Source organism: Homo sapiens, chromosome 5 (assembly GCF_000001405.40).
Source record: "Homo sapiens chromosome 5, GRCh38.p14 Primary Assembly".
NCBI classification, from domain to species: domain Eukaryota; kingdom Metazoa; phylum Chordata; class Mammalia; order Primates; family Hominidae; genus Homo; species Homo sapiens.
In genome coordinates, this window is record NC_000005.10 from 66876575 (window position 1) to 66888818 (window position 12244).

General features: G+C 38.7%; 1 protein-coding gene across 16 annotated transcripts in view; it reads left to right on the plus strand.

Annotated features, from left to right (window-relative positions):
- The window catches only part of MAST4 (microtubule associated serine/threonine kinase family member 4), a 573201-nt gene that overhangs the window by 280182 nt on the left and 280775 nt on the right, over positions 1–12244 (plus strand). The window contains exon 1 of one of the 16 annotated variants that reach the window (XM_047417164.1): positions 6291–6446. The exons of the other annotated variants lie outside the window; for them this stretch is intronic. The gene's annotated coding sequence lies outside the window, so the exon portion shown is untranslated. Of the gene's footprint in view, positions 1–6290; positions 6447–12244 lie in introns of those variants that run through there. 16 annotated transcript variants of the gene reach the window in all.

The window sequence follows — 12244 nt, forward strand, 5'->3', positions numbered from 1 at the left end:
CACACCATGTACCTCATTAGGAATGTTATAATTAGACGATCTGTTGAAGCCACTCCGTAGAGTGATCAGGCTGTTTTGGTGTAAGTACAGCCAGTACTTAGTTAAATGAGACATAGTCTGCCCTATGACCCAGCGGCCTCAATCCTAAAGAGGGCATGTTTGTATGAGGCGTGTACCCAGGTGCCTTTTGGAGCATTGTCATGACAGAAAGTCAGAGGTTTTGTGGGCATTGACAGTTGTGGGTGGTTGGGTAAATGGGGGAATGTCATAGAGTACCATTTAGCCATTGGAAGCAACAGCCCGAAGGAACACACAGCAATGTGGATAGAGCTTAAAACATATCACTGTGTGGAACCAAGCTTAAAAAATCAATTCTGCAGTATCATACTTTTAATGTCAATCAATTAAAAGTACACACCACATAATGTACATTTCATAGGAGCATGTGCAAATAGCCGAATATCCATCAGATATAGAGAAAGATTGCTTGGAGGCAGGAGGGGAGGGCCTAGGACTGGAAAGTAGCCATGCAGGTAAGTAAATGGATGGGTGATTGAGGAGGAGGAGTCAGCCTACTCTCTCCTCTACACTTGGATCTCCACAAGAATAAATTGGTAAGCAAAGAAATATGATATAAGGGAGGCTTAAATGCTTGAGTGAGAAGTGGATGCAGCCACCTGTAAGGTAAGTACTGCTATGGGGAGCAATGGGATAGCTAATACTGACACAGTATTCCCATGGGTCCAGCCTGCTTCTAGTTGCTTTACACACATGTGAACCACTTTCATCTGTACAGCAACCTGAGGATTTTGGGTACTGTTAGCACCATGTTGCAGATGAGGAAACTGAAGCAGGGTGAAGTTCAGTAACTTGCACAGGGTCGCACAGCTGGTAAAAGTGAAGCCAGGATTCAAGCCCGATTACTCTGGCTTTAAGCCCCTGTTCTTAACCACTAAGCCTTGCTGACTCCTGATGGACGTACCTAAAGTGGAGACGAGAGGTAGAAATGCCTTCCACAGATGGTACCACCGGCACGGGCCTGGCATTCGCAACTGCTTCCTCTTTGTGGAGGCTGACCATTTTCTTTCAGTGTGTGCACATGTATATAAAACTTCTTATTGAAATATAATATGGACTCCTTAGTGTACAGCTTGATGAATTTCCACAAACCGAACAAGATCAAGCAACACAGAACAAGATGGACAGCCCTGAAAAACTAAGGAAAACAAAAACCTCTGTCATTTGTACTAGGTACTAAATTATGATGCTGGAAAACAACGTCATGAAAAACATAAGCCTTTAAAAGCAAAAACAATAGAAATGTAAAACTTTCTGAAATTGCTAGAGGTATCAGGCGTTCCTAAGGCATAGAAAAAGCCCTCTACCTTTTCATTGATTTTTTTACTACAGTCAGTTGCTTCTGTTATGACTGGCCGGGAGGCATGGATGACTCATGAAGGAAAGTGGAAAAATCTCTCAATGAATTTAAAGGCAGCCTCCTGTTATCAAAGGATAAAGCAGTTTGAGCTGCAAGCATTAGTTAGACATAAATAAATAGATAAATACCTATCATGATTGGATCATAAGGAAGACCTTGCAGTGGCCAGATAAATGAATTTTCTTCTCTCCTGGTCATTGTTTAACTCTGTGGGACAACTGTCTTAGATGTTCAATGTCAATTCCTGTGGGCCACGTTTGCCAGTTTGCAGGACAAAGCTATGACAGCGTGTATCACACTAAAAGGATAATGTTTTCCCATATTTCAAATGGCCAATTCTGTGTCCAGAAAAAGTATCATGTTGTGTTTTGGGGCTACTCTTAACACATCTTCTACCTACCTGGCAAATTTGTACACAACAATTCAGCACCTTTGGGCAGTGAGGTTAAATAACTCACACAAGATCCCAGAGCTAGTAAAAGGTGAAGCCAGGATTCAGACCAGTTAATCTCTGTACTTTGCCATCATAGCCTAGTCCTTGCCACCAACATCTAGGAAGGGCTTGGCCTCTTTCCTGGGGCATGGACTGTGCTGGGCAATGCAAGATTTCTCAGGGTTCAAGAGGAAGGCAACCACTATACCTTCTTTTTTTCTCTTTTAGCCTCAAGTAATCGTGATGTTCTTTTTACCTAAATGTCAGAGAACTCTTTTGGCCTAGATACCACTCTTCTGGCCCCTGGCTCCTATGGACCTAGGTAAAGCTGCAAAGCTGATGGAAGAGTGTTCATTCTCCTTATGGTTCCTAGCCCAGTTTACAAGGATTTTTTGTCTCCGTTGGCTTTAAGAAGAACTGCAGACCCCTAACAATTCTATTGAAAAATGGGCAAAGGAAACAAATGAACAGTTCACAGAAAAGCAAATATGAATAAATGGCTCATACGCATAGGAAATGATTCTCAACTACCCTTATAAGAAAAGTACAATGGGCCGGGCGTGGTGGCTCACGCCTGTAATCCCAGCACTTTGGGAGGCCAAGGCTGGCAGATCACGAGGTCAGGAGATGGCGACCATCCTGGCCAACATGGTGAAACCCTGTCTCTACTAAAAATACAAAAAATTAGCTGGGCGTGGTGGCGGGTGCCTGTAGTTCCAGCTACTCGGGAGGCTGAGGCAGGAGAATGGCGTGGACCCGGGAGGCGGAGCTTGCAGTGAGCCGAGATTGCGCTACTGCACTCCAGCCTGGGTGACAGAGCAAGACTCCGTCTCAAAAAAAAAGTACAAATTAAAAATTGTACTGATATATATATATATATTTTATGTGTTTAAAATATATACACACACACACACACATATATATATATATATATACATACACAAATTACCTATTGGGTTGGCAAAAATCTAAACCTGGGAGTATTTCTGGTTTCTAAAACTGGAAATCTAAAACTAAAAGTATTTTGCAGCTATGCTTTCTGGGAAAATAGCTTGCTTTCTTTGTTTTGTTTTGTTTTTTGAGACAAAGTCTCACTCTCTCACCAAGCCTAGAGTGCAATGGTGCCATCACTCACGGCTCACTGTAGCCTTGACCTCCCCAGGCTCAGGTGATCCTCCCAAGTCAGCCTTCTGAGTAGCTAGGACAACAGGCACACATCACCACGCCCAGATAATTTTTGTATTTTTTGTAGAGATGGGATTTCGCGATGACGCCCAGGCTGGTCTCAAACTCCTGGGTTGAATCAATTCACCAGCCTTGGCCTCCCAAAGTTCTGGGATTACAGGCATGAGACACTGGTCTGGGAAATAGCTTTCTTACTTATAATTCTGGTGGGAGTGTAGGTTAGAACAACTTCTGCAGATGGCAAATTGTCAATGTTAATCAAAATACATGTACCTTTTGACCCACCAGTTCTTCTTTGGGGAGTAAAGCCATCAGATAGACCAGTGTACATGCTGAATGAGTCCTGGAAAAGATTATTTATTATAGCATCCTTTTTAATAGCAAAAGATTGGAAACAACCCAAACATCTTTTAGTAGTTAAGTGGATAAACAAATTATGTTTCATTCGTGCTATGGAATACCATACAGCTATGTAAAAGACTGAGGGCTTTGCACTGATATAAAAGAATCTCCTGATCAGAGGGAAAAGTCAAAGGGCCAAATAGTAGGCTTAATATGTTTCATTTGCTGTAAAAGTAGGAGGGGAATAAGAGTATGTACTCATTGGCTTATGTAGTCAGATATTACATATTTGCTCATATTTTGCTCATAAATTCTGGACAAGTTCATTCAAAACTTAGAACAGTGGTTCTCTCTGGGAGAGAAATGTGGGAACTGGGTGAATTGGGGACTAGGATGGAAAGGAGTTTTTTAAAAACTAAATGCTTCTCTATACTTTATAGACTGTGGTAATATATTAACCATTCCAAAAAAAGTGGGTTTTTTTAAACATAAAGAAATCCAGAGCTCTTGACCCAGAGTTTCTTCCTTTCATTCTGAGCCAGCTGCTAAACCTCTGTGCTCACTTCTAACTTCTACTGGATTCCTCCTGAATTGTCTAGCTTCCCCTTAACAATGGACGTTTGAGGACATTCACCATCCTCTAAAGTTTATTGCAACAAAAGGACGAGAAGGAGAAGTAGAAGACTACAGAGCTTATCTCATTTGTTTTCAGCCTAACATCTCTCTACTCAGACCCATACAAGTAATTCTAAGGAGAGTGGATTCCACTTATTTTCCGTGATGCTTTGTATAAGGTATGATAGAAACACAGTATTAAAGCACTCAAAAATACCAAAGGTAAAAAATATCTTTGAAACTCAGTTCCACTAATGTAATATATACTGACATTCACTTTGTGGCCAGGCACTGTGCTAAGTGCTGGAGATTGAGTACTTAGACTGGAAGGTGAGTATAGCCAGCTGCCTTTTGAAGAATCACTCCCTCCCATAGATCTTGAACACTGTTTTATTTCTGTTGTAAGAGTAACACATATCCAGAAAAGTGCAAATATTAATGAACTTTCACAGATTGACTCTACTCATGTAATCAGCACCAAGACTGAAAACAAAACAGCATCACCAGCACCCAGAAGATCCCATTGTGCTATCTTTGTAGCAAATTTTATAATTCTATTTTGAATTTTCTATTGTTTTGAAGTTTTGTTTTTGTTTTCAAAGTCTTATATTTTTCATGATACTGCTTCCCAACATTATAATTTATTATCCAGCAAAATGACAGCTGTTTTGGTTTTTCTGGGTTTTTAAGGAAAGGATGGGATTGAGTTTCAGAACATGCATAAGATAAAGAATACGTGTAAAGATCATACTCATTATGGCTATTAAGATTTCAGCTGCTGGAATTTCTATGTTAAGTCCACTTGAATATTGTGACCAAAAACATCTGAGAGGAAAATTATATTCAGTCCATTTCTCTTTCCTAACACAAGAATGCAGTTATTTTTCTCCTATTTTGCAGCTGGCAAAAGTTGAGTATGCATAGGTGAATTGTGACAGCCCCACCTCTCCTATCCTTATGGGAATTTTTATTTTTAAAGACTTTAAAAAATCGGTGAATTATAATTTGTTGACTTTTCCCAGTCATCAGAGTTGTGCTTGCCAAAGACTTGTGTAACAGGAAATTTGCCAAGATAGGATTAGTGATTTGTTTGGAGAAAGGGTGTAGGAAATATTTTAAATTTAAAGGTGAAAAGATCACAGACAAGGTTAAGTACAAGTTACTCAATTTGGCTTCTATTTATGAAGAACTACTGAAATTATCCCTTTACCTTTAGGGACTTCTGTGTTTCATTTGCCCCCAAGTCCCCTTACCCGTCAGGCAAAAAGAAAAACAAGTCAAAACATAACCAGCAACTCTTTAAACAAAATTAAGCATTTAACCAGGCAAGTTTTATCAAGTTTTGTCCTGCTTCTGTGGATTCTGGAAGGAGTCTGTTTCCCAGTAGTACTTGAGAAGAGAAACCTGGCACAGGTTTTGCTGGCCAGTGCTCAGAGGCTGGTGATAACTTTTAGAAACTGGTTTCAGTATCTTGATAACTCTGTTGCCTGTTTTAACATTTTTCAGGTTAATGTGTTTTGAGATTTTTAAATTTTATTTTATAGATACTCCCTTTCCATTACCTCACATACCTTTATCTATTTCCTGCCTGAAAAAGAGATTTGCCTCTGATGCGCCCAAGTGTGGTTTTCCTTGAATTTATCCTGCCTAGGATTTGCTGAGCCTCTAGGGTATGTGGATTAATGATTTTCATCAAATTTGGGGATGTCCTTGGACATTATCTACTTAAATACATCTTTAAACCACTTTCTTTTCTCTCCTGGGACCCCATTTATATCTATATTAGGAAGTTTAATATTGTCCCACAGATCTTAGGCGTTCTTTATATTTTTGTTTTGTTTTTGCTTTTTTTTCTTGGCAATTCATTTGGGATAATTTCTATTATTTTGACTTAACTGTACTGATCATTTATTTTGCTTTACTCTGCCAGTTAGTAAGCCCATTTCATTGTTAGTAAGCCCATTTCATTCTAATATATTCTTCAGGCTAGATTTTTCTTTTTTGTTTTTATAATACAATCTCTCTGCTAAAAATTCCCACATCTTCTTTATGTTGCCATACATTTGCCACTGTATCCTTTAGCATACTTTTTAGTCTGTCTGATAACACCAGCATCTTGACTACCTCTGTATCTGTGTGTCTTCTCTTGGCCATGGGTCATAACAATATCCAAACCTAGCTCAAGCAGGGAGCAGAATGACTCAGCACCCTACTACAGTGTATGACGCAGAAGAGGCATACCTTTTTCTGAAGCTAAGTAGTATTTATCTCAGCATCAGTTTCTACCGAGATTTAAAATGTTTAGCACCTACTTGAAAAATTACCGATACAAGAAGAAGCAAAAACTCCTATTTCTGAGATTTCCTTTACCACTTAGGAGGTAGACTATGACCAGGGACCATTGCTCTCACTCCTACAGTCAAAATAACCTGGGTAAGTAATAAAAATCATAGTTTAAAAAATCATAAAATATGCTAAGGACATAAATAAACCTTGAAAATGTAAATTCCAGAAATGGGCAAACTCTTCAAAGGAAAGAAGAGGCCCATGGTTTCTCTCACCCCTGGTGGATTGGCAGGAGGAGGAGGAATCTGCTATGGATGGGGTAAGAAGGAATCAGCCAAACTGAAAACCTACTTTTCACTTCTAGCTTTTCTTTCTGTCTTCACTCATATTGTGAGCAGTGGTCTCTTGTGATTATTTACGTCCTATGTGGAAGTCTCAGAAATAGGAAATTTGTTCAAGGAGACTAGGAAATTTGCCAATAGGGAAAAGAGAACAAAGATAAGCCTTGGCCATTGATAAATAGGGCACAGTTGTGTTGTTCTGTCACTGTTTTTTTTTTTTTTTTTTTTTTTTTAGATGGAGTCTCCCTCTGTTGCCCAGGCTGGAGTGCAGTGGCGTGATCTCGGCTCACTGCAACCTCCGCCTCCTGGGTTCAAGTGATTCTCCTGCCTCAGCCTCCCGAGTAGCTGGGACTACAGGTGCGCACCACCAGACCCGGCTAATTTTTGTATTTTTAGTAGAGACAGGATTTCACCATGTTGGTCAGGCTGGCCTCGAACTCCTGACCTCGTGATCCACCCACCTTGGCCTCCCAAAGTGCTGGGATTACAGGCATGAGCCACCGCGCCCGGCTTTTATAAACACATGGACATGGTAACACTCCTTATTTTCTGGGTTTATCTTTCATGTGAACTGCAGGCCTACCTATGGTATGGTAGTCATGTATTTTTATTCCTTGTGTTTATTTCTTTAGCGATTTGATCACTGTAGTACACAAGGGATTTGTTTCTGTAGCTCTTGCTTTTAGTCTTTTTTTTGGATGCGTTGCTGCAATCTTGCAAGTGTACAAAGGGACACTTTATTGAATTACATCGTAAGCCACCTGCCTCTTTCATCGTAGCACAATTCAAGACTGAAATTCTAAGTTACTAAGTACAATAGCTGGTATATGGTGTGGCAATAACTTAGTCTCCATTTTTCTTGTGGTCATTCTATGATTGCACTAAAATTAGGGCTTATTTAAACCTCCATTTCTCAAAGTGTATTCTTTCAGAAGCACATCCTATGTTTTCCCAAAAAGTGTTTCATATTAAATTTGGGTAGCACCAGAGATTATGTTACTTGCTCTTAGAAAATAAAATGCTAATGATTGTAAAAAGTCTTGGGGAAATCTTAAAATAAGTAAATCCTTTAAGCTATTTTTAATTAGGTGTTTCTCAAACTTATTGGATCCAGAACCTTTTAGCAAAGGAACCTTAAGTTTTTCTTGTCAAATAAAGCCATTCACAAAGTGCACAACACTCTTTGGGGAAATGTTGAGTTAAATGGACTCTGTAGCTCTATATTTTGGGGAGTATGAATAATTCATATTGGACTGTCATTCTGTACACCTGGAAAACATCTTCTCCACTGTTTCCTGAGAAGGACCCGGGAAGCTTGCATTTGGAGGAAGGAAAAGCTCTAACCCAGAAGCCTGTTTGATTACCGCGTTATTGCTTAGATCTCCTCATTGTAAGTGTTAATGTTGTAATACTCTGCTACTGTAGGGGTATCCTGGTCTCAGCTGCCTGACTTGTCCAAGGACTGTCCTAGTTTGTTAGTCCAGGAAAATAAGCTAGGTCAGCTATCATATCCCCTCAAATGAAAAAAGACGGCTAGCCGCCTAGACTGCAATTGCAAGGAAAGGTCAATCAATATATTACCTTTCTTTCCATGTGTTCCTTGGCCGCCGGCAGAGTTGTGCCTTCTCACTAGTGGTAATCTCTTCTGCTAAATTTTATTTTAACCTTGCAAATAGGTGAAAGGAAGGGCACAGTTAATAACGTCTTCCCCCATATACCTCTGGGCATATCATTTGGGCTGAATCTTGCCCCTCCTTCCCCTAGCAGTAAGCCCTGCACAGTCCTGCTTCGACGGAGTGTTATGCAAGTAGCTGGTTTTATTTACTGTGGGAATTTCTCCTAGAGCTCTGTCATGCTCTTGCACAGACAGAATGCAAACATTTTTGTGATTTTTGACAGTAGCTGGGATCTATGTGGAATAGGGGGTTTTCAAAACGTTTCTCAGTCAATATGTTTACTCTACTTCACCAGCCATGCAGTGTGATATGGTGCATCACCAATACTTGAAATAGACTGCAACAGGAGGTCAGAATGGGGCATAGATTTTCTCACACAGCATGTTAGATGAAATGATTTTGTGTACTTTGAAGTGGAAAATTCAATCAGAATTTTCCACACTTTTTAGTTAAAGCAACACTTATTCATTGATGAAAGGTAGACTGAGAAAAATACAAAATGCAGAGTCTAGCATATTGTTCCTGGTCATAGCAAGAAATACTTTTTCTCCTGTAATGTAATGAAAGCTATGCAAGATAAAAAGGGTCTGCTTAAAATATACAGCTATGGGATGCTAAGAACATATGCCAATATGTTTAGCATGTGGGTGGATAAAAATGGAACCCAGCTTTGTAAGAAGTTTGTTTTTCATTAAGAAATGGACTTCATGCTTGATAAATGGCAATTCCAATTGCCCAGGTAATCCATTTTGGCTTAGTTTTAAAGTAGCAGAGTTCATTTAAAAGCACCTGAGAGTATCAATAATAAATTTAAGAATAGATTCTCTAAGTTTTCATTGAAGTAGGCTTAGATAATATTTAAATTTATTACTAGTTTTCATCTGTCCTTTGGTGCGCTGAAGATACATCAGCATAACTACCTATTACGTAGATGAGTAATTTATACTTCCAAATTGCAAAACCTTAGGGTTGCAGTGTCAGATTTGTGCATGAATATTTAAGATAGAATAATAATCTAGTATTAGAGTGCTCAGTGTGTGCCAGTTACTTTTCTAGATGCTTTACATGTATTATTTCATTTAGTCCTCACAACAACTCTGACTTCTCAAATCTACAATATCCAGCGATGCAAGAAAGCCACAGAGAGGGTAGGTAGTTTACCCAAGGCCGTATGGAAAGTCGAGGCTGGCACTCACTTTGGCATGCAGACTCCCAAACCAGACTTCTGAGCCACTCTGCCAGGCCATGTACCTGAAGCTCTGCCACCTCAACATTTTCATCCTGATGGTCCTAAGTAGGGGTGAGTAGGCCACTTAATTCAATTAGCGTATAGGACTTTTGTTTTTAGATTCTTTCTTTAAAAGAGGCACAATTCTTCAAGAGTTTGTTTTACTTTAGCTACTGTTATTTTTTTCTGGTTGATACACAATTCAACTCAGTGTAATTCAGTTTTCTTTTTCAAACTAGCATTTAAAGTGACAGAACCATTTAAAAGTATTAGTGCAAATTCATCAACTTGTCCAAATAGTGTAACTTCAAATGATAGGCTGCCTAAAACTTTGTGTTGTTCAAAGTTCCTTTGTTCTAACGTCGATTCTCCCCACCCCGTTTGTTAAAACTATTTTATATCATCAGTTTTTGTTGTTGCTGTGTGTGTGTGTTTAAACTTTTATTCTGAAGAAAGTGAGTCCAGAATCAACTATCAGTTTGATGTATCCAAGGCAGTCCAGTGTAATTCTGTGTAAAAACACATACTTCCTGTGTAATTCGTTAAGCATGCCAATCCAATATGATCTAGTATGCTTTTTATTTTTCAAAAGAAGAACTTGGTTAGTGTAATAGAAACTAAAGTGAAAACCACCTAAATTCATCCATACGTTGCAGATGGCTGCATTCACATGTATTTAGGGTAGGGTCTTCTTGCTTGGAAATGACTTGATTTTTTTGGTTAACAAAAATAAGAGGCCACCTTATGAACATTTTCTTAAGACTTAAAAATAAGTGTCCACTCAGTTGTATAGTCTTTCTGATCCCAAAAAACCACAGGGGATCATTTTGACTTTGAGGGAAGGATTCTGTCTTTGTAGTGAGAACAAAATTTAGTCTTTAGGAAGAAGCAATTAAAACCCCAGAGCCTTTTATTGCTTTTGATGCTTTTTTTAAAAACAAAAACAAAAACGAAACAAAACAAAAATCTCACTGCACTGAAATATTTTGTGCTAATTAACTGTCACAAATGTGATGCCATTAAGCTTGGACTCTCTTTGGTTAACTTCAAAGTCACTAACACACACTGTGCAGCCCTCCCAAATATATTTTAAAAAAGGGAAACAACTTGACAGATCTGTAATCAATGTTTTCAAGGCTTTTGTTTCTCATAGAACCTAAACCTGATTTAAGAACATTTGTTCATTTTCTTTGGATAACATTCACCAGCCTTTATGATGCCAGAGTTGTGTTGATGTCTGGTGTGTATTTGGATACACTGTTCCAAAGCTAATTTGCAAAGTTTATTTAGTACTAGCATTAGCTAGGAATGTACTTAGCTGCAGGTAACAGAAAACCCAACTAATAGTAGGTTAAATAAATAGAGATTTATCTTTCTCATATAAAAATATTTGTTGGTAGAATGTCCAGGGCTGGCGCCATATGGAAACAGCATCATCAAGGGCCCTGGCTACTTTTGTCTTTGCTTGTCTGTTTTTAATATGAGGACCCTGACCTTGGGCAAATCGTGACATAACTTTCCTAATACTCAATTTCCCCATCTGAAAAAATACTGAACATTCTTCCTATAGTTGCAGGATAGTGGTAAGGCTTACATGAAATCCTGTGTGAGAAAATGTCCCTTTCAAGAATAAAGTTGATTTTTAACACTGCAATGGCAGCCACAGCTGTACTAGTTTTCACAGTGGTGATGGGTAGGGGAGGGTGTGAAATAGGAAGCAGAGAATCTTACCTTAACCCATGGTCTTCATTCTCGAAGTTCTCAATTCCTGCATACTTCCAGATGATGTTATTTAAAATAGTACATTGGGCTGGGCGCGGTGGCTCACGCCTGTAATCCCAGCACTTTGGGAGGCCGAGGCGGGCAGATCACAAGGTCAGGAGATCGAGACCATCCTGGCTAACATGGTGAAACCCCGTCTCTACTAAAAAAAAAAATAAAAATAAAATAGTACATTGGAGAAAATACTTTAAAAAAACTGTACCCTGTAACAAATAGAATCTTTACTTATTAAGTGATATATATCTTCTATAAGCTAATTGTTTATTCTGTGACCTCTTTACAATAAATTTCGGTACCATTAGAGGCTTAAGTTTACATTATTGATTATTTGAATATGTGTGTCATTAATCTTCCATCGTGCTCATACATTTTATATGTATATTTTAAGTGTTGTTTTTGCATTTAGATGGAGAGGAATGGCCAGAAGAAAGTAGACTTGTGGGTATTAGCTTCATATAGCAGTTCAAGAGGTCCCTTGAGCTGATTTGCCAGTAAATTTCTACACTAAAATAGGCTTTCAGAATAGGGACTGCTAGATAAACCACAAGGTGTCTGTAGTAAATAAAAATGATTAATCTCAGCAGAGTAAATTCAGTATCACTTTTCAAATAGTCTCATCCAATTCTGTCTCCTGGTTCTATAAAAAGCCTTTTTCTTTTGGTATTAAGGTTGTCTGTAATTTTAATAGAACACTTGAATTATTATCTGATTTTAAAAAATTGGTTCATAAAAGAATATTGATTCTTCAAATTAGGGGCAGTTGAAATGTACATTTATTAGCAAACTCGTCCCCTGATGGGTCCTGGAAAGCCCTGTCAAGAAAACTCATCTTAAATCTATGTGAGAGACACAATTCTTAATGATTGGCTGTGGATTGGACAGTGAGGTTGGTGTGGAAATGCAAGTGAACTGAAAAGT